General features: G+C 47.9%; 1 long non-coding RNA gene across 1 annotated transcript in view, besides 1 other annotated feature; it reads right to left on the bottom strand.

Moving 5' to 3' along the window:
- Positions 1-1,357: 1,357 nt before the first annotated feature.
- Positions 1,358-23,457, bottom strand: part of ATP11AUN (ATP11A upstream neighbor lncRNA) — a 37,454-nt gene continuing 15,354 nt past the window's right edge. The window contains exons 2-3 of the long non-coding RNA NR_164109.1: positions 6,217-6,678; positions 1,358-2,581 (exon numbers count right to left, since the gene is read on the bottom strand). This is a non-coding gene — a long non-coding RNA (ATP11A upstream neighbor lncRNA). The remainder of the gene's footprint in view (positions 2,582-6,216; positions 6,679-23,457) is intronic.
- Positions 16,646-16,940: a silencer, noted in NCBI's record as "tiled region #9322; HepG2 Repressive non-DNase unmatched - State 21:Repr, and K562 Repressive non-DNase unmatched - State 21:Repr". NCBI's record gives its function as "represses a minimal TATA promoter and a strong SV40 promoter by Sharpr-MPRA in HepG2 and K562 cells {active_cell/tissue: HepG2 | K562}" and the evidence as "EXISTENCE:reporter gene assay evidence [ECO:0000049][PMID:27701403]".

The following is a 23,457-nucleotide window of genomic DNA, read 5'->3' as shown; positions in this document are numbered from 1 at the left end:
CCAGGCTCATCACAACCTCTGACCCCCAGGTTCAAGTGATTTTACTGCCTCAGCCTCCCCAGTAGCTGGGATTACAGGCACCCACCACCACACCTGGCTAATTTTTGTATTTTTGGTAGAGATGGGGTTTCGCCATGTTGCCCAGGCTGGTCTTGAACTCCTGACCTCAGGTGATCCACCTGCCTTGGCCTCCCAAAGTGCTGGGATTACAAGTGTGAGCCACTGCACCCAGCCCCTAGAGTTCTTCAATGGCAGAAACGTCACTTTCTGCCCCTCCGCAGGCCATTCTCTAACCTCCCTGGTCCCTTGGTCTGGAATCTTCTGCCCCACCCCATGTTTGGCCCCCTCTTAGTCATTCTCAGATGCCATCTCTCCCTACACCTGCCTGGGTTCCGGCTCGGTTATCACTAATCACTCCCCCACTTAGCATTCCTAATGGCACCACTTAGTAAAGCTTAGTTATTTTTCCACAGCAGTATTTCTCAACCCCGGTTACAGATTAAACTCACTTAGGGAATTTTTTTTTAACCAATAGCACTTCCCCAGGCTGGGCGTGGTGGCTCACGCCTGTACTTCCAGCACTTTGAGAGGCCAAGGTGAGACGATTAGGCAACATAGCAAGACCCCATCTCTACAAAAAAACACAAAAAAATAAAATTAGCTGGGCATGGTGGCCCACACCTGTAGTCCCAGCTACTCAGGAAGCTGAGGTAGGAGGACTGCTTGAGCCCGGGAGGTTGAGGCTGCAATGAGTTCCCATCATGCCACTGCACTGCAGCCTGGGTGACAGAGTGAGACTGTCTCAAATAATAATACTAATAAAATAGCACTTCCCAGGCAGCCTTTCTCCAGACATTTTGACTCAGTTGGTTTGGAGTGGGGTCCAAGCTTTTGTAAAAGCTCCCAGTGTAGCAGGTTTCTGAGTCGTTCATCTCAATGTCTGTCTCCCACCTGAACGTGAACCTGTTGGATGATCAGTTATCATCAGTTATCGACCTTTCTCTCCTCAGGCATAGCGTGGTGCTCAGCAGATGCTGAAAGAATTAGTTAACCTGCTATTTTAGCTGACGAGCACTAACAAAATGAAGAGCATAAGGCGTGAGCACTCGCAGAGTGAAAAGTGCCCCGTGCAAGGCCATCTATCCCGCATGACTCCTGTCACCGGGAAGGAGAGCTATGGAGAGTGAGGTCCTGCTCAAACGCCCCCTGAGATCATCTGCCATGCTCTGCCAGGCCATTTGTCCTGGAACGTGACGTAGAACATTGTCTCCTGTTCCGGGAAAGGGCCACATATGCAACATGGCCCTCAAACGCCGAAGGAGCTGAGAAACCAAAGAATAAGCCAGACCAATGAAATCTGTCAGTAAAGGGTGTTTTATTGGGGGAACCTACAGACAGAAGCATGGTCTTGGGTGGCTGGAGGACAGGCAGGTCTCTGCCCCTGTCACCCCAGACCCAGGGCTTCTGTGCCGTAGGGAAGAGGTGTAAGTGCTCTTTGCAAGACAACTAAAGGCAGCCCTTCAGAACAGGCAAGAGTGGTAGATGCGTCATGGCCCATAATTTGTGTGATCACATCAAGGCTGACATGTTCATATACTAGGGACAGGAAATCACATAGGAATTGGGAGGCGCTCAGGGGACTGGCGCCGGTCTGAATTCAGCATGGTGGATCAGCACCCAAGAGGAGTCACTACTGACTGGCCCCACATCTTCCTGTGCCCAGGAGGAGTTTGTGGGGCAGGGCCTCTGATTATTTTTGAAAATCTAGTTTAATTTGGTCATTACATTGGTGTCAAAAATGGAATAAGTTAAATTTCATTGTACTTCTTAATAAAAAAATTTGAATGGCATAAGTGCCAATCTCAAAGCATAACAACATTTAATATTCCAGACAATGCTGGTGTGAGCTCCGCTGAGAAAACTTTCACGGCATCTGGGGATTCCTGTGAGCTCCACTGTGAAAACTTTCACCGCATCCCGGGATTCCTGGACATGCCTGGGTTTAGTTGTCAGGGGATCTCATATTTGTTACTTTCACACCCATCCTGAGACACCATGAGTTCTTGAATTCTGCACCTTTGAGACTTTTGTCTCCTCTGTCACTTGAAGTCTTTTTCTTGTTAAAGTTTCTTCCTTCAGGTGTTCAGATGCAGGTCAGGAGCGAGACTGGATAAGCCGTGGTCTCCAGGTCTTTTCTCCTCGACAATGAGCGATCATTGGCTCCGTTTCACACCTAACGATGGGTAATCATGCAAAGTGGTTGCTTGTCCCAAAGCGAGCCTAATCGGGATTAATTTTGCTTCTCAATGTCCCATTTTTATTTCTCAGTAAGAATACAGGAAAGTATGGTAAGAATTCTTTTCTTATTTATTTTGTACACTCCCTTCTCCTTTGTTTTATTTCTCTAAAGGATCAATGATTTTAATTCCAGTTTTCTTCCAGAAAAAAACAACTAAGTTGTGTAGTGCTTAAAATTACCGATAAAGTAATGAAAGCAATTTGTTGGAATCATCTGTCTGAACAGTAACTTTAATATAGACCATTATAGCTCCTCTCCAACAGAGTAAAGATGATAGGGTATCTGAAATAAGAGGTGGATGATAATTAGAAATTTAGCATTATTCAAAGTAATTCGTACCTTTGGTCAAGCAAGTTGCTTGGATATTACATAACATCACTTTAATGAATGTTCAATTTATGAAAATCAAACTTTTTACTTTTAAAGGTAAAACTAAACTGTTTACTTTCTACAAAACTGAAAACTCACCCCTTTGCTTTTTTTTTTTTTTTTTTTTTTTTTGAGAGAGAGTCTTGCTCTGTTCCCAGGATGGGGTGCAATGATGCGATCTCGGCTCACTGCAATCTCTGCCTCCCAGGTTCAAGCAATTTTCCTGCCTCAGCCTCCCGAGTAGCTGGGATTACAGGCGCCCACCACCACACCTGGCTAATTTTTGTATTTTTAGTAGAGACAGGGTTTTACCGTGTTGGCCAGGCTGGTCTTGAATTCCTAACCTCGTGATCCACGTGCCTCGGCCTCCCAAAGTGCTGGGATTACAGGTGTGAGCCACCGCGCCTGGCCACCCCTTTACTTTTTTAAAGAGAAAGATAAAATGGTTTCCCTTAAAATATTTTTCATCTATTGTAACTTATAAGAATACTTAAATATTCTTAGATAACTGGAAATTATCTCAGTCTACTCAAAAAGCCAAAAAAGTATGAAAAAAAATGGTTTTGAATATATGCTGCTCAGTGAAGCCAGACTCAAGGGGCAAATATTGTAAGATTACACTGATATGAGATCCCCAGAGATATAAAATCCATAGAGACAGAAAGTATAATAGAATGGGGCCTGACAGGGGCTGGGGTAAGGGAGGATTGGACAGTAAGTATTTAATAGGCACAGAGTTTCAGTTTGGGATGATGTAAAAGTCATGGAATGGATGGTGGTGCTTGTACAACAATGTGAGTGTCTAATACTTCATGCCACTGAACTGTGCACTTAAAATGGTTAAAATGGCAAATTGTATGTTACAACAATTGTATGTTAACAACAAAAAAATGCTGTTTCCAGAACCAGAGATAACTTTTTTTTTTTTGAGACGGAGTCTTGCTCTGTCGCCCAGGCTGGGGTGCAGTGGCACAATCTCAGCTCACTGCAAGCTCCGTCTCCCAGGTTCATGCCATTCTCCTGCCTCAGCCTCCCGAGTAGCTGGGACTACAGGTGCCCGCCACCACGCCCGGCTCATTTTTTGTATTTTTAGTAGAGACGGGGTTTCACTGTGTTAGCCGGGATGGTCTCGATCTCCTGACCTCGTGATCCACCTGCCTTGGCCTCCCAAAGTGCTAGGATTACAGGCGTGAGCCACTGCGCCCGGCCTAGAGATAACTTTTTATGTTAATGTTCAATTATTCTGAGTTCCACTTCAGAAGACAGAGCTCAAGAAGAAGAAAGACTCCCAAAACCAGTCAGGAGTTCAAGACCAGCCTGATCAACATAGTGAAACCCCATCTATACTAAAAGTACATATATATATATATATTTTTAGCCGGGTGTGGTGGCATGTGCCTGTAATCCCAGCTACTCAGGAGGCTGAGGCATGAGAATCGCTTTGAACCTGAGAGGCAGAGGTTGCAGTGAGCCAAGATCACCCCACTGCATTCCAGCCTGGACGACAGAGTGAGACTCTGTCTCAAAAAAAAAAAAAAAAAAACAGCCAGTCACAGTAGCTCACATCTGAAATCCCAGCACTTTGCAAGGCCGAGGCAGGCAGATCACTTGAACCCAGGAATTCGAAACCAGCCTAGGCAGCATGGGAAGACCCTGGTCTCTACAAAAAATAAAAAATTAGCTGGGTGTGGTGGCTCACACCTGTGGCACCAGCTACGAAGCAGGCTGAAGTGGGAGGATCACCTGAGCCTGGAAGGTTGAGGCTGCAGTGAGCTGTGATCACGCCACTACACTCCAGCCTGGGCCACAGAGCAAGACCCTGTCTCAAAACAACCACAGAAACAAAACAACATCGACGAGACCGACTTCTGCCTTAGTAACACACGTGAAGAAAAACTCTGATGCCACCGTAGTTGTGTTGGCAGCCCACAACCTCGCCACGTTGAATGTCGTGATACAGGCTGCACCGGTACATGCTTCAGCTTGGATAACTTTAAGGAGGAGATGGAAGCTGGCGCTGGAGACCTGGCCATGTGCCAGGAATCTCACACCCACCTTTGTGCACTTCTGTAAAAGGATGGCAACACGAGTGGTGGGCTCCACTGCTCCGGTTTTTCTGATGAGGAAACCTAAGTCCAAAATCCCACTGCTTGAAGACAGTGAAGGCAGGAATCACCCCTGGGCCAGCTGGATCCCAAGGCCACCACAGGCTTGTGGCTGGATCACCTGTCCCCTAATCACGGCCATTCCCAGCCCGGTCCCTGCGGTCCGCTGGGCTGACCCACCTCAGGACGGCTGGGACCCACAGTGGGTGTTGTTGGTCTCTGGCACACACCTGCTTCTCCCTCACTCCCCCACTTCCCTCCAAGGCCCATCTTGCTAAGATGGAACAAGAGGGAATTGAGAACATCAGCTGTGCAGTCAGGGGAGGGCCCATTGCATCCTGCAGCAATGCCTCAGCCTGCCGAGGCCCCTGCTTGCCTGTCTGTAAACTGGGCACAATCATGCCACCTACTTCTTGGATCCACAGAGAAAGACTTTGCCTGAGGCCGGGCACTAGGGGCCACCTTCCCCAAGCGCACTCCTCTCACCCGTCCTGCTGGGTCTCCCTGGCTTTCCCCACCTTGTCCACAGAAGGCCCTGGCCCAGGTCCATCTCTTCCTTCAGGTCCAGGGCGGGACACTCTCCTGCCCTGCTGCCCTCCTGTGGATGTGGAAAGCAGGATGGCAGTGGCTCCCGGCCTGGGTCCCAGGGCCCTGCATTTCCCCACCACTCAATGACTCCTCATGCCCACGAGCACTGGTCTTGCCTCCAGGGTACCTCTCCTGTGACCCTGGCCCGCCCACCCTTTGCTGCAGTGAGCAGGGCAGATGCAGGAGGGGAGGAGGGCATCGCCCACCCCTGCTGTTCCTCCACACTTGGCAGCATCAGTCTGGGAAAAACGGAGAGAGGTTTAAGCAGGTCCGGGAGAGTCCTCCCCTTCCACGCGTCTCCGCCCTTGCCCTTTATTAAGCACTGCGGCGGCTCTCCATCCAGTGGAAGGTGTTGAGAGGCAGGGCTGGGCTGAGAAGTGCATGGACCGAGGACAAACGGGCTTGGGCTTGGTCCCACCTGAGACGCTGGCACCCTGTGGGAGAGGGGAGCCCGGCACCCACCTCACTGCCTTCAAGCATGAAACAGGAGTGATGGGCCTGGCCCAGGGTGATGAGGAGAGCCAGATGGGCCGAGGCTCTGGAAGGTAAAGGGCTCTGTGGCACGTTTCCCCAGCTGGAGGGAAGATGGTCTGGTGGGTGTGGTTAGTATCAGGGAGCAGAGAGACCCCAGCTGAATGACAGAATCTGTATAAAGTGGCCGGCAGGCTGCCCAATGCACAGTCTGCTCAGCAAGGGTTTTTCCTTTCTGCTTGGTCCCCCACATCGGATGCACAGAACCCGTATTCTCCTGGTCGCTGTAGTCCAGCGGCAGGTTCCTGATAGCTCACACCCCTGCTGAGGTTCCGCACAGTTTTCAAATTGCAGCCACAGCTCGGAGCCCTCCCCAGCCCCTACCTGGCAGCTGTAACTGCTTCTGTGTCCCTGAGGCACTCCTGCGACCTTTATAGGTCAGGCAACCTTGTGGCTGGTCCCATGACGCAGCCTGAGCTCGGATCGGCGGCTCATCACGGGATTCATCACGGGGGCCTCCCTCCAGACCTGCCGGGTCCATCTTCAGGGAAGAGGCCCAGGCACGTGTATCTTTCAGAGGCTGACACCCTGGGTAAGAGTCTCTGCATTGAGCAACGCAGAGCCTCGCCTCTGGTGAGTTCATCCTAACAAGGTCCCAGGATGCACGGATATTCAGGACCACCTGGAGATGGGCCTCAAACCTTGGTTCAGCTCTCAGATCACTAGAGGCTGCTGCAGGAGGCTCCCGTCTTCTTTGTAGGTAATATTTCAATGGGTCAGAAACAACCTTCTGATTGGGAATGGAAGAAGAAAGGCATCGAATGGTTGGTTTTCTTCTGTGTAATTCTACAAGGGTACACCAAGAGTTTATTTTCTGTATTACAATGAAACTTTGTAAAAACTTTACCTCTCCCTCTCCCTCTCCCCGGTCTCCCTCTCCCCCGTCTCCCTCTCCCCCGTGTCCCTCTCTCCCGTCTCCCTCTCCCTCTCCCTCCACAGTCTCCCTCTGATGCTGAGCCGAGGCTGGACTGTACTGCCGCCATCTCGGCTCACGGCAACCTCCCTGCCTGATTCTCCTGCCTCAGCCTGCCGAGTGCCTGGGATTGCAGGCGCCGCCGCCACGCCTGACTGGTTTTTGTATTTTTGGTGGAGACGGGATTTCGCCGTGTTGGCCGGGCCGGTCTCCAGCTCCTGACCGCGAGTGATCTGCCGCCTCGGCCTCCCGAAGTGCCGGGATTGCAGACGGAGTCTCGTTCACTCAGTGCTCAATGGTGCCCAGGCTGGAGTGCAGTGGCGTGATCTCGGCTCGCTACAACCTCCACCTCCCAGCCGCCTGCCTTGGCCTCCCAAAGTGCCGAGATTGCAGCCTCTGCCCGGCCGCCACCCCGTCTGGGAAGTGAGGAGCGTCTCTGCCCGGCCGCGACCCCGTCTGGGATCTGAGGAGTGTCTCTGCCCAACTGCCACCCCGTCTGGGAGGTGAGGAGTGTCTCTGCCCGGCCACCCTGTCCCAGAAGTGAGGAGCCCCTCCGCCCGGCCTCCCCGTCTGGGAAGTGAGGAGCCCCTCTGCCCGGCCGCCACCCCGTCTGGGAGGTGTACCCAACAGCTCATTGAGAACGGGCCATGATGACGATGGCGGTTTTGTCGAATAGAAAAGGGGGAAATGTGGGGAAAAGAAAGAGAGATCAGATTGTTACTGTGTCTGTGTAGAAAGAAGTAGACATAGGAGACTCCATTTTGTTCTGTACTAAGAAAAATTCTTCTGCCGTGGGATCCTGTTGATCTGTGACCTTACCCCCAACCCTGTGCTCTCTGAAACATGTGCTGTGTCCACTCAGGGTTAAATGGCTTAAGGGCGGTGCAAGATGTGCTTTGTTAAACAGATGCTTGAAGGCAGCATGCTCGTTAAGAGTCATCACCAATCCCTAATCTCAAGTACCCAGGGACACAAACACTGCGGAAGGCCGCAGGGTCCTCTGCCTAGGAAAACCAGAGACCTTTGTTCACATGTTTATCTGCTGACCTTCCCTCCACTATTGTCCTGTGACCCTGCCAAATCCCCCTCTCCGAGAAACACCCAAGAATGATCAATAAATACTAAAAAATAAAAATTAAAATTAAAATTAAAATTAAAAAAAACAACTTTATTTTAATTTTAGCCAAAGAAATGCTTTTTTTTTTTTTGAGTTGGAGTCTTGCTCTGTCGCTCAGGCTGGAATGCAGCAGCGTGATCTTGACTCACTGCAACCTCTGCTTCCCGGGTTTAAGTGATTCTCCTGCCTCAGCCTCTAGAGTAGCTGGGATTACAGGCATGCGCCACCACCACACCCAGCTAATTTTTATATTTTTAGTAGAGACAGGGTTTCACCATGTTGTCAGGCTGGTCTCAAACTCCTGACCTCAGGTGATCCACATGCCTCCGGCTCTCAAAGTGCTGAGATTACAGGCATGAGCCAGTGCGCCTGGCTGCATTTGCATAGTTTTAAAAGAAAATGGTGCTACCCGGCCTGTAAGAATAACCCGATGTCCTTGTCATCACCTACTCCAGAGCCCCCTGCAGAGACAATCACTCATAGCTCTTTGCTCTTCTACCTTTATTGTGTCCATATTTCCAAATTATGTGCTTATAGCATGATTTTGAAAATTTCAACAGCACCAGTTACATAGGAAGATAAATATTTAGCTCATTCGTGCTCCTACCTCTACCTCTCTCTACTGCACGTGTCCCCACAGAGGCCACACCGGTCTCCATTCAATCTCTGCCTGTGATGGTAACAAGATTACATTCTCATAGCTGCATGTCCGTGCATGTGCTACACGCTGCCCCTGTGTTGTTCATGCATTTTCACTGCATCTTCTTTCTTATACCACCTTTTTTCCTTGAAGATAATCATTGCCTCCATCTTTCATTTTCTTAGGTTTCTTTTTTTTTTTTTTTTTTTTTTTGAGACAGAGTCTCACTTTGTTGTCTAGGCTGGAGTGCAGTGGCACAATCTCAGCTCACTGCAACCTCCGCCTCCCTGGTTCAAACGATCCTCCTGCCTCAGCCTCCCAAGTAGCTGGGATTACAGGGGCCCGCCACCATGCCTGGTTAATTTTTGTATTTTTAGTAGAGACGGGGTTTCACCATGTTGGCCAGGCTGGTCTCGAACTCCTAACCTCAAGTGATCCTCCTGCCTCGGCCTCCCAAAGTGCTGGGATTACAGGTGTGAGCCACTGTGCCCGGCCTCATTTTCTTAGCTTTCTGTATAGTTTCTACTAGTTCACGGCCATACGCTCGTATTTGTCAGTGCCATTCTATTTTTTTTCTGCAGACATCCCTCCTGTCACCCTTTGACATCCTGCTGCAATCTGACGGTGACTTTCTAAACTTGCTGCATACTTCTATACTCCGGTCACAGCCATACACTCGTATTTGTCAGTGCCATTCTATTTTTTTCTGGAGACATCCCTCCTGTCACCCTTTGGCATCCTGCTGCAATTGACGGTGACTTTCTAAACTTGCTGCATACTTCTATACTCCGGTCACAGCCATACACTCGTATTTGTCAGTGCCATTCTATTTTTTTCTGGAGACATCCCTCCTGCCACCCTTTGGCATCCTGCTGCAATCGACGGTGAGTTTCTAAACTTGCTGCATACTTCTATACTCTGGCTACACTTCACAGGTATCAGGAATTCCCTCCACTTCTCTCATAAGCCCTTATTTTCTGCATTCCATGATTTTTTCTTCCTCCTTGATTTATCGGTTTAATTTAGTGGACTGTATTCTCTAGTAGCTTCCTGGGAAAGGGTGCATGAAACATCAGCAGTTAAAATATTTTTCTGACCTTATAGTGATGGATAATTTGGCTGGATATGTTAGTCACAGGTAGGAAATATTTGTCTTCAAAATGTTCAAAGTGAAACGTGGTGGTGGCATAGTGTTTAATCTTTCTAAATCCCAAAATTAAAACAGAACAACTAGATAGCAAAACCAAAAACCTATGAATCACATTGACAACAAAATTAGATAACAAAGTATCCCCATGAACCTTTGGATTGGAGGTGTGAGTGCAAGTGGGTGTGTGAGGAGATGTTATGAGGGAGTCTTCAGAAGGACTAGACTTTTTGCATTTTACTAAATACAAGACTTTAAAAAAGCAAAATGCATTATGAAAATTTCTTAAAATGATGTTTTACACAGAGAATTTCACTTTAATTAAAAGAACTTGTTTCAAATAGCAAGTAGGTTAAGTTTAAACCAGTACCTTTCCACTATAAATCATTTTCTGAAAGTTTTTTCTCCTGTTCTTCAATCTGAAATATAAAGGAAGGGAGGCTTGCCAGTTCTGGATAGAAATGATCAATCTCTGGACTAGCTTAGCAGGAGGTAGTAAAATTATAGTGCTTGGGTTAGTGTAACATCTCACATGACAAGCAAATGCCTGGAGAATCTCTGCACCACGGAGGCTACGGTGGGGAGCGCTTTCTTCAATCTACTTTCAGAAGCTGTAAGAAATGAGCTTTTGAGCAAACATCGTCAGCCAGAACCCAACACCCAGAGCAAACCCTACTGCAGTCTGTGCACCTGACGCGCCTTTAGACTTTGAAGATAAAAATAAAAAGTCTTTTGCCTCCTGTCCAATAAAATCAAACAATTAAAATGTCATCGAGTTCCGTGTGCCCACTTTGAAATATTATTAATAATAATAACAGCATTTGCATTCATTTCTATCTTCAAGGCCTTTCCTAAACACCAATTTTTTCCAGCTCTTCAAGGGGAGCATCTGCTGAACAGGACGGGTGAAGTGATGGGAAGCAGGAGCAGGCCTGCGGTCGCAGTGAGTACATCACATTGCGTGATAGGGAATGGGGAGTGTCTGTGGGAGACTGGCCAGAGGTCGTGTCTTTCACAGATATAAGTGCGAGAGGGATTCTGGATGTGCTCTCAGTTTCGCAAGGCTCTTAATGAACTTCTTTGTCACCTGTTTGGGCTCTGATTTTCCATTGTTCAGAATTCCATATAAATTACAATGGAAAAATAAAAAAAATTAACTCTTGTTGTTGTTGTTATTCCTGAGGACTTGGAACCATGACTGATGCGAGGCTGGTGAGGCCATGTGAGCCGGGGTCAGCGGCGGGCAGGGCTGGGAACCTCTTGCCACTCCGTGAACCCTAGCATGACAGGATGCCCCACCTTTCCCTTAAGCTTGCCTTTCTCCGCCTCCCTCCCTCCCCCCTTCCTTTCCTCCCACCTGCTCCCACCTCTCCCTGTCTGCCCATTTTCCTCCATTTATTGGCACTGGATGCCCACACCCAGGACACACTAGGAAGCTGCTGAGGGTGAGCAGGCCTCATGACAATGTCATCAGATCAGCGTTTGCTTTAGAGGCAGGTGGGGAAGAGGAGGTACAAGATGTTTGTCTTGATCTCTGCTGTATGAGAATCGATACCACCAAGACTTCCTCAGCAGAAAGAAAATGTCAATAGCTTTGTGGCTTTCAGGCCCAAATGAGTATTAAGTGGCTGCTTATTTTTAAGGCTCATTTTTAAGGGACCATTTTTAAACCCTGTTGTTTGCTATAATACAATTATAAAATAATTTTACTTTTGTAAGCTTTACTGTAAAGAATCTGATCCTGTTACCCAACTTAGCGTATATTAACTAGATTTGGTTGCTTTTTATAGCATGAAATACAAAATTCTCCAACTGGTCGTCACAGTCTATCATAATGTGGCCAACCTCTACATATTTACCCAGATTTCCTTCCTTTCTCAGCATTGCTGTCTCATCCCCCTGGAACATCTTCCTTCCGTGCTGGGCAAACCGCATCCACCCTGTAGACTCAGTGCTGCCGTGCTCCCCTCATTCCTGAGCCGCTTCTGTCTCTGGGACTTCGGGAGGCACAGTTCTGATAGGGCTCACAATGTTCCCACCCCATGCTCGGGGGCTCCGTGCAGTCCCCTCTCCTTGGTGGGAACGGAGGCTGATGTTTCTCCCCTGATCAGGCTACATTCTCTTGTAAATATGAAGGAATTCTGCAGTGGAATTAAGATCCCTAATCAGTCAATTTTGAGCTAGTCAAAGGGAGGGTTATCTTGGGTGGACCTGGATAAAAGATAGGGAAAGTTAGAGCGATTTGAGGCTGCAGAGATATGCTCCTGTTGGCCTTGAGGGAGGAAACTGCCGTGCTTTGTGGAGAGCCACATGAGAGGGAGCAGAGGGGCCTCTAGTAACTGAGAGCAGTTCCCAGCAGGCAGCAGCAGGAAACAGGGGCCTCAATCCCACAAGCACAAGGACCTGGATGCTGCCAACAGCCAGTAAGCTTGAAGGTGACCTTGACCTTCGGATGAGCACCTGGCCCCAGCAGCACCTTGACTTCAGCCTTGTGAGGCCCCGATGAGAGGACCCAGCTGGTCACATGCAGACTCTTGACCCATGGAAACGAAGAGTGAGAAACGTGTGTGGTTTTAAGCACCTAAACCTGGGATCATTTGCTATACAGCAAAAAGAAACTAATACAGGCGCCGGGCGCGGTGACTCACGCCTGTAATCCCAGCACTTTGGGAGGCCAAGGCGGGCAGATCACCAGAGCTCAGAAGTTTGAGACTAGCCTGCGCAACATGGTGAACCCCGTTTGTACTAAAAATAGAAAAATTAGCTGGGCATGGTGGCGGGTGCCTGTAATCCCAGCTACTCCAGAGGCTGAGACAGGAGAATAGCTTGAACCCGGCAGGTGGAGGTTGCAGTGAGTCGAGATTGCGCCACTGCACTCCAGCCTGAGCGACAGAGCAAGACTCTGTCTCAAAAAAGAAGAAAGAAAGAAGGAAGGAGGGAAGGAAGGAAGGAAGAAAGGAAGGAAGGAAGGAAGGAAGGAAGGAAGGAAACTCCATCTCAAAAAGGAGAAAGAAAGAAAAAAGCAAGCAAGAAAGAAGGAACGAAAGTCCATCTCAAAAAGGAGAAAGAAAGAAAAAGAGAAAGAGAAAGGAAAGAGAGAGAAAGAAAGAAAAAGAAATTCCATCTCAAAAAGGAGAAAGAAAGAGAGAGAAAGGAAAGAAAGGGAGAAAGAAAGAAAGAAAGAGACTCCATCTCAAAAGAAAAAAAAAAGAGAGAAAGAAACAAAGACAGGTATCCTGTGGCACATGGTGTGGCCTTCTCTGCTAGAGAGAGGGCTAGAACTGTAATTCTCTGATGCTATGATGGCCTCTTGCACTGCTTTTGTGAATTCCTTTGGTGGAGGGACGTTCACGTTGCCACCGTTTTTTGCAAAGCCCCACCCTGACAGTCATCCCTGTTGCAGGTGTGAGCCCCCCAGGCTGTGGGGCACTGGGACACGTCTCTTGGTGTCTTCCATGCCCTCCCTGTTCACCCCAGCTGCTCCCCTGACACGTCAACTGTGTATCACGTTCCCTCTGCCTGTGGAGGCTGGACTCAGCTTCCTCCTCTTGGTGGGGCCTGCTGGGGGATGTGGGATGGTTTCTGGGCTTCCATTTTTCCCAGCAGGCACCCGTGCCTGCCTCTAAAGCCTTGCTCTCCCTCCTGGAGGTGCCACTGTGCATGGCCTCAGATGGAGGATCGTTCCAACAGCCACTCGCCCCTTACTGCTTCAGGTGAGCGGCTCTCCCTCACGCACCCCTTCTTCGGCACCTGATACGGGAGGGGACCATTTGGTGTGGAACGGGCAAAGTATGGTCTTCGACTACAAGGAATGTGAGGAGAGAGGCTCCTCTTTCTGTTCCCTGGGACAGCCAGTGCGTGGTGTTAGACCAAAGCGCACGGATGTTATTCTTGGACCAGGGACCCAAAGGAATGATTGCAGCTCAGACAGCCAGACTTGCCTGCAGCTCCGGCCCCTCCACCTCTCTTGGTAATTTTCGGAGCCATTTCTAATCCTGGCTTTCTGGCCTCCTTCAATTCTTTGAGCTCCTGTATCCTTTCAGTTAATTCCCTCTGACTCTTAGATAGCATGATTTGGCCGGGCGCAGTAGCTCACACCTGTAATCCCAGCACTTTGGGAGGCCAAGATGGGCAGATCACCTGAAGTCAGGAGTTTGAGACCAGCCTGGCCAACATGATGAAACCCCATCTCTACTAAAAATACAAAAATCAGCTGGCGTGGTGGCAGGCGCCTGTAGTCCCAGCTACTCGGGAGGTTGAGGCAGGAGAATCGTTTGAACCCCGGAGGCGGAGGTTGCAGTGAGCCAAGATTGCACCACTGCACTCCAGCCTGGGCGACAGAGTGAGACTCTGTCTCCATAAAAAAAAAAAAAAAAAGCAATAGCATGATTTGTTTCAGTTGCTTATAACTGGGACCCCTGATGGATTCAGCTCTCCAGTGATAATGTATAACAGCCACCGCCACGTGTGTCTCATAAACATCTGTAGCATCCCTTGTGCACATAACGACTTGGACATGGGTCAGTGCCGCAGACCTGAGCCACACTGCTGGGGCTCAAGCCCTGGGTTTGCATGTACCAGCTGTGAGGCATGGGAAAGCTAGAGGAGCCCGCGGCCCCTTGTCTGTGAAACAGGGACAATGACAGTCCTCGCCTCACTGGATGACGGTGGGATTGCATGAATTCCTATACACAATGCTCTCGAAACGGTGTCAGAGGAGTATTTGCTATTATTTCTTCCTATTCTGTTTGACTATGGAAAATGATATTTTATTATTTCTCCAACTAAATTTTAAGAGGTTCTTTATTTTCATTCCCTCCAGCGCACCAAGCCTGGGCGGGGAGTACATGGTTCCGCACAGGTATCGGGGTCTGTGGCCTTGGTACCTCCCCAGCCAGAAGATCACATGCACCCCCGGATCTCACAGCCTCTTCAGGAGCGAGCCCTGGACAGCACTGTCAACAAGACGGGTGCTCTGTGGTTTCCCTGTTTTCTGTCAGAGAATGTTCTGGTTTCTGATGACTCCAACCTGCATGCAGATTACATCCCAGCAGGGAGTTGACGGCAACTGGAATCGTGCCAGCTTCACTTCTTACTGTGACCCGACAACCCTTGGCCTGCCCTCTAACCCTCTCCACTCCAAGGTCGTCTCTCAGCCTCAGTGGAGCAATCATGGCTTCTCCTCACAGCACAGGGCAACTTGGACCCGGTCTTGCTGCTCTCCTATCTGATCTGGGAACGAGGACTGTTAATCTATTAAGACTACATTCAGGGGGCTGGGTGCAGTGGCTCACTCCTGTGATCCCAGCACTTTGGGAGGCCGAGGCGGGTGGATCACCTAAGGTCAGGAGTTCGAGACCAGCCTGGCCAACATGGTGAAACCCTGTCTCTACTAAAAATACAAAATGAGCTGGGCATGGTGGTGCGTGCCTGTAATCTCAGCTACTTGGGAGGCTGAGGCAGGAGAATCGCTTGAACCCATGAAGCGGAGGTTGCAGTGAGCCTAGATCGTGCCACTACACTCCAGCCTGGGTGACAGAGCGAGACTCTTGTCTCAAAAAAAAAAAAAAGAAAAGAAAAAACTTGGCAATGACAGCACCAGGGCCTTCTCTGACAGGAGCCTGGAAGGAGAGTGAATTACCCAAGAAATGCAGCAGAGGCCGGGGTAGAACAAGGGCACCCAGGCAGGAGCCAGGGTGACCCCATCCACTCTCATGTCACTGGGAGCTGGGACAGTGGTGGCGCTGTCTTCAAAGCAAGGTGAGCTGGATGGAGGCTGGGATCCTCAGGACTTCCAGCCTGGGCTGCTGGCCTCTGCACTGTCTGTATGAGCGTGGATTTCATGTTCTTCTCCTAGTTTGGTCACATTGTTTTGAGTCATGTCACTCTCACCTGAAACTACAGTTAATAATAAACTGACCTGTTCTCCACACCCGACCGGTAACTTAGACTGCGTGAAATGGATTGTGTTTTCTGATCTCTCCTGTCATACAACTCGTATGGGCTGCAGACAAACGTGAATACATTATTAACAAACCAGCAGACTGCGTAGGGGAGAGCACAGATGGCTGCATATGTTAAGAGCTGGAGGCATTAATTATGCAGCATCCTCATCTTCTGGGGCTCACTCACATAATGACAGTACAAGTGTTTTTTCCTGGTAAATTTACTGACATTCTGTAAGGAAAGTAAAGCTTCAATGAGGATTTCTTAAACTCGAACCAATTTAACAAAATAAATACAACAAGTGAGGATTTTCTTTAAGGTTCTATTAAATGTTTTAATAAGCTTCCTTTTGGAAGGGGCCAATTAAATTAATTAATTACACCATGACATTAAAAAAAAACCTAATAATAGTTCTGGCCAAGTAGAATTTTACTTTTTTTTTTTTTTTTGACACGGAGTCTCACTCTGTCACCCAAGCTGCAGTGCAATGGCACGGTCTCGGGTTCCAGAGATTCTCCTGCCTCAGCCTCCTGAGTAGTTGGGATTACAGGAACCCACCACCACGCCTGGCTAATTTTTGTATTTTTAATAGAGATGGGGTTTCGCCATGTTAGTCAGGCTGGTATCGAACTCCTGACCTCAGGTAATTGGCCTGCCTCAGCCTCCCAAAGTGCTGGGATTACAGGTGTGAGCCACCATGCCTGGCCTAGAATTTTACTTGGATAAAAATATAAAATGATCAAAGGGAAGTATCCTATTGAGTATATGGAAATATTAAAAGATTAAAAACAGAGGGATCATAAACCAAATAAATAAGTTTAAATGGCTAAGTTTGATGTACTTTATAAAGGAATAGAGAAGATACTGAAAAACATGGAAACTTCCTTTTTGTAGATTGTGTGGTGTACAATAACGATGGGTGAGGCATTGGCGAGTAACAATGTGAGTTCGTTTGTCTCTTCATCTGTCCCTTCTCACATCTTCTCACTCAGCCCTGCCAGGCTCATCCCCTGTCCTGTGTGTGCCAGGCACAGCCCTTGGCCGAGTAAGGACGATGCAGGCTGGTGAGGGAGCCCCACCGTGGCCCCTGATCTTACAAAGGAGCCTGCGGCAACCCCCTGAGTTAGACGCTGGGGAAAAGTGACGGAGCCTCCTACGTGTGGCAGAGGCTTGAGACCCAGCCAGGAAGCGCTGGGAAGCCAATCCCCAGGAGAGTGACATCGGAACCGAGTTCTTAAAGAATTCATTGGGTTAATTACAGGTTAATTAGGGGAAGAGGAGAGGGACTGGATTTGTGAATTATTTATGTTCCGTAAGGAAGAATGACAGGGAAAACGGTGGCAACAACTTACATCTCTACATACCTGTTTGTTATGAGCGCGGACTGTTGGGTTTTTCCCTATTAATAAAATAAAATCAGTAAATATTTCACTAGATGTTTTGTGATAGACTTGGATTAAATGAAAAGTTAATGGGTTCTGATTTGTGTAAAATTTACCAATAGCTTTAGACCCCAATCATGAACTGGGGCTAACCTGCCTCAAAAAGAACAAGGAAAAGGTGGCATGGTTTCTCTTTTGATTTAGAAATCTCTGAATTTTCTGATAATGTGTATTACTCCTCTAAAAACATCTTCCAATATTAAATTTTATTTAAAAGTTACATAATTTTTTTTTTTTGAGACAGAATCTCACTCTGTTGCCCAGACTGGAGTGCAGTGGCGTGATCTCGGCTCACTGCAACCTCTGCCTCCCAGGTTCAAGCGATTCTCCTGCCTCAGCCTCCCAAGTAGCTGGGATTACGGGTGTTATGCACCACCATGCTGGACTAATTTTTGTATTTTTAGTAGAGACAGGGTTTTGCCATGTTGGCTGGGCTGATCTCGAACTCCTGACCTCAGGTGATCTGCCTCGGCCTCCCAAAGTGCTGGGATTACAGGTGTGAGCCACTGCACCTGGCCAAAGGTTGCATAAAATTTTAAGCATGTAAAAAATTAGAGGAAAAGTTCATCCATCATTATCAGCTCCTGGCCAACCCTGCTCCACTTCGACTGCGCCCACCCTGCCTCGGTCTGCACTGTTCTCATGAAATTTCAGACAGAGATAATTTCATTTCTTCATTTCCAGCATGGAGACCTTGCCTTTCTTTCTCTCTTTCTGTCTTTCGTTCTCTTCTTATTCTGTACTAACTGTTTTATCTAGAGCCTCCATTACAACATTAAATAGAAACAGGAGAGCAGACCTCCTCCTTCTGCTCCTGAGCTACAGGGAAAGCGTTCAGATTCTTGTCTATAACTGTGGCTTGTCTGTAGATGCCCCTTGCGGGGCTGAGGAAGTTCTCTTCTATTCCCAGTTTTTTAGGCGCTTTATTCTGAAGGGGTGTTGGATTTTCTCAAATGCTCTTTCTGTGCCTATTGAGATGACTACGTGGTTTTTGTCCCGTACTCTTTGGAAGTGTTGTGTTACGTTGATTTTCGCGTATTGAACTGCCCTTGCATTCTTGAGATAAATCCCACTCGGCTGTGTTGTATAATGCTTTTCGATGTTGCTGGATTTGGTTTGCCAGTATTTTTTTGAGGATTTTGCACTGATATTCAATGAGGATATTGGCCTGTAGTTTTCTCTTCCTTTGATCACAAGTCAGTCTGATTTTGGTGTTAGGATGATACTGATCTCATTGGATGAGTTAGAATGTGTTTCTTCCTCTTCTATTTTCTTTCTTTCTTTCTTTTTGAAAGAATTTGTGAAGGTTGGTATTCTTCTTCAAGTGTTTGGTAGAATTTACAAGTTAAGCCATGTGGGCCTGGGCTTTTCTTTGCAGAAAAGTTTTAATTACTAATTAAACCTCTGTTTGTTGTTAGTCTACTTGATTTTTCATTTCTTTTTGAGTCTCTTTTAGCAGTTTCTGTTTTTCTAGGAACTGGCTCATTTTACCTAAGTTATCTAACTTGCTGGCAGAGAGGTCCATCTTCTGTTACTTCTGTTGTGTCCACAAAGTGAATGAAAAGATGGCCTCGTGCTTTCTGAGATGAGCCTCCTCTGTTCTCCCTCACTGTGGTCTGGGCTTTCCTTTCCTTTGCTCTTAGTGTCTCTATCCTGCTTGATTTGCTTCTGATCTCAGCACTTTCCCCCCCAGAACAGAGGTCTGGACAGCTCTGGACATACACACATCCTCATGCACTCCCACACACTCACACATAGACGCAGACACATCCTTACACACACACGGACACAGACATCCTCACGTGCTCCCACACACTCACACACGGACACACACATCCTCACGTGCTCCCACACACTCACACGGACACACACATCCTTATACACTCCCACAAACCCACACATGGACACACACACAGCCTTATGCACTCCTGCACACTCACACATGGACACACACACATCCTTATGCACTCCCACACACACACACGGACATACACATCCTTATGCACTCCCGCACACTCACACATGGACATACACATCCTTATGCACTCCCGCACACTCACACATGGACATACACATCCTTATGCACTCCCGCACACTCACACATGGACACACACATATCCTTACTCCCACACACTCACACATGGACACAGACATCCTTACACACTCCTGCACACACATCCTTATTCCCACACACACGGACACACATCCTTACACACTCCCACACACTCACATGGACACACACATCTTTATGCACTCCCAGACACACAGGGACACACATATCCTTATGCACTCCCACACACTCACACATGGACACACACATCCTTACACTCCCACACACACGGACACACACATCTTTACACACTCCCGCACACCCACACATGGAAACACACACAGCCTTATGCACTCCTGCACACTCACACATGGACACACACACATTCTTATGCACTCCCACACACACACGGACATACACATCCTTACGCACTCCCGCACACTCACACATGGACACACATCCTTACACACTCCCGCACACTCACACATGGACACACACATCCTTACGCACTCCCGCACACTCACACATGGACACACACAGCCTTACACACTCCCAGACTCACACATAGACACACATCCTTACACACTCCCACACACAGGCACACACATCCTTACACACTCCCACACACACACATGGACACACACAGCCTTACACACTCCCACACACTCACATGGACACACACATCCTTATGCACTCCCAGACACTCAAACAGGGACACACATATCCTTATGCCTCCCACACACTCACACATGGACACACACATCCTTACACTCCCACACACTCACATGGACACACATTCTTACACACTCCCGCACACTCACACATGCACACACATCCTTACACACTCCCGCACACTCACATGGACACACATATCCTTACGCACTCCCACACACTCACAATGGACACACACATCCTTATGCACACGGACACACATCCTTACACACACATGGACACACACATCCTTACACACACACCCTTACACACACGGACACACACATCCTTACACACACACTCATGAGTGCACTTGCACACAGGCCTGCATTCACTCACACGCTTCCTCTCGCACCCACATACACAAGCTGCCTTGCTTTACTCAGCTGTCAGAGTTTTTCTGAATCTGGAGAAGGAAACAGCAAGATAGAAAGGGGGTTGAGCCCAGTTTTCTCAGCAATTTCAAAGGGCAGGGAGACCACAGATGATACCTGGGTTACATCTGCCACTAGGGAAGAACTGGAGCATCGAATGGTGGGCATACGGGGAAAGCTTACTTACTTGGTAAAGGCTGAAAAAGAAAATATGTGGGACTTGTAATTATATTTTTAAGGATAAAGCACAACCCTTTTATTAGTGCCGTGATACTTGCTTCATCTGACCAGGGCAGCTGGTAAACTGCAAACATCAGGAAGAAACATTAAACCTGGGAAGAAAGAATTGAGAAACATTTCTTCTCTTAACTCAGCAGTAGACACTGGAGGAGAATCACAGGGGAAGCCTGTGATGCAGAAGCCACCAGAAAAGCACCTGCTGCAGCAGAGGCAGGCTTGGCGAGGCTTCCAGGAGAAGCGCTGAGCGCAGAGCACGGCCCCGTGCAGGGAAAGGGAGCAGCCTGCAACCCAGCCCAACCTGGAGGGAGGTGGTGCACACGCAGCTCTGCCAACGATGCAGGTTCACCAAGTTCCTGCAGGCCAAGGATGTACAGGGTGGGGAGCACATCCGTGTTCACGTAAGCAGCACGCCCCTGACGACGCCCCAGCTGCGAGTGGCCAGAATGCATGCAGAACCACACCTGGCGGTTCCATGTGGGATGGAACTTCGCTCAGCCTTGTTATCAGGGAGAACCCACCAGATGTGGGATGCAACAGAGTGTCCTGTTTGTTAACTGCTGGGACGTCTTGAGCAACGATGATCAGGGTTCACTCCATCTGCCACAGGAGGAAGGTAGCTCCTCATTTGACTCTTCTAAGGCAGTGCTTCTCACGCTCCACGTGCACAGAATCACCAGGAGATGTTGTGCAAAGACAGATTCCAATGCAGTGAGTCTGGGGCAGAGCCTGATATTCCGTGGTTCTAAAACATGTCTGGGTAATGCTGCTGCCACTGGAGTGGATGGTGCTGTGAGCAGCCAAGTCTAAGCTGTCTGGGATGAGATGAGCGTGCTGTTGGCCTGGGCTCACTGACCTGCGCCACCCTCTTTTCCTAGCTGAGGAGAAAGAAGAGGAAGGTGGGTGGGAAGTGGTTCCAACATTGGATTGTACTTTTCAAGGTGGGGACATTGACGAGATCGACTCATAGATATCCTATCACTTTCTCTTTGGTGGGTCCCACACGTGGGGCCCTATGAGACACTGGACGCTCCGGCAGCACATTCAAGGACACACCTTTTGTTTTCCTTCTCGCAGTAGTGATTCTCCACCCTCGGATGTCAGTCTTCTCAACAGAGGTGGTGGCATCTCCCGGGAGCATTTTGGAAACATACCGAGGCATTTCTGTTGTCAGTAGTCGAAGGGCATTTAGTGAGTGGCGCCAGGGATGCCGGCTATCATTTAGGTGTCTTCAATGTCACCCAGGACTTTCATGCAGGAGCACAGGCACCTTATAATTCTCTGAGTCTAGACCTCATCCAGTTTACATATACACACAGAGCTTTTTTTTTTTTTCTGAGACGGAGTTTCGCTCTTGTTGCCCAGGCCGGAGTGCAATGACGTGATCTTGGCTCACCACAACCTCTACCTCCCGGGTTCAGGTGATTCTCCTGCCTCAGCCTTCTGAGTAACTGGGACTAGAGGCATGAGCCACCATGCCCAGCTAATTTTTTTTTTTTTTTTGTATTTTTAGTAGAGACGGGGTTTCACCAAGCTGGCCAGGCTGGTCTCGAACTCCTGACCTCGTGATCCACCTGCCTTAGCCTCCCAAAGTGCTGGGATTGCAGGCATGAGCCACCGTGCCTGGCCTGCATTTTTTTTTTTTTTTTTTTTGATGGAGTCTGGCTCTGTCGCCCAGACTGGAGTGCAGTGGCATGATTTTGCCTCACTGCAACCTCCACCTCCCAGGTTCAAGCAATTCTCCAGCCTCAGCCTCCTGAGTAGCTGAGATCACAGATGCACACCACCATGCCCAGCTAATTTTTATATTTTTAGTAGAGATGGGGTTTCACCATATTGGAGAGGCTGGTCTCGAACTCCTGACCTCAAGTGATCTGCCCGCCTTGGCCTCCCAAAGTGCTGGGATTACAGGCGTGAGCCACTGTGCCTGTCCTAAACAGAAAGCATTTTTGTATGACTTAAAAATGCAAACTATACAGAGTTTTAAAAAATTCTAGTATCCCTTTGTACCACTGTACCCTTTTTCTCCACTTCTTGCACAGTATTGCTTCTGAACTTACTCAAATTGTTCCTGTTTGCAGGCAACACAATCACTGATATATATCCCTGAGGACTCTACCAAAACACGAACTAATAAACACATTTAGTAAAGTTGCAGTATACAAAATTAACCTAAACAAGTTAGTAATGCTTCTGTACACTAACAGCAAAGTATCTGAAAAAGAAATCAAGAAAACAATCCCATTCATAATAGCTACTAAAAAAAAAAGATACCTAGGAATAAATGTAACCAAGGAGGTAAAAGATCTGTACACTGAAAACTATAAAACATTGATGAAAAATATTGAAGTTTACACAAATAAATGGAAAGATATCTTGTGTTCGTGGATTAGAAGAATTAATATTATTAAAATGTCCATACTACCCAAAGTGATATACAGATTCAATGCAATTCCTATGCCAATGACATTTTTCACAGAAAAAAAAATTATAAAGTTCACATTCATAAAATACCCAGAATAGCCAAAGTGAGCCTGCGTTAAATAAAAATAAAGCTGGAGGCATCACACTACCTGACTTTGAAATATAATACTACAAAGCTGATATTGGTATAAAAACAAACACTCAGACCAAAGATGCTAAAACACGCATTAAGGAAAAGATAGCCTTTTCAATCAATGGTGCTGGGAAAATTGGATGTCCACAGGCCGAAGAATGAAACTGGACACCTATTTTTCACTATATACAAAAATCAACTCAAAATGGATTAAAGACTTAAATGTAAGACAGAAAACTATGAAATGATTAGAAGAAAACATAGAAGAAATACTTAATGACACTAGACTAGACAAGGATTTTTTTGAATAAGACTCAAAAGCGCTGGGTGCGGTGGCTCACGCCTGTAATCCCAGCACTTTGGGAGGCCGAGGCAGGGAAATCATGTGGTCAGGAGATCGAGACCGTCCTGACTAACACGGTGAAACCCTG

This window comes from Homo sapiens, chromosome 13 (assembly GCF_000001405.40).
Source record: "Homo sapiens chromosome 13, GRCh38.p14 Primary Assembly".
Taxonomy (NCBI): domain Eukaryota; kingdom Metazoa; phylum Chordata; class Mammalia; order Primates; family Hominidae; genus Homo; species Homo sapiens.
This window is presented reverse-complemented; position numbering and strand designations above follow the sequence as displayed.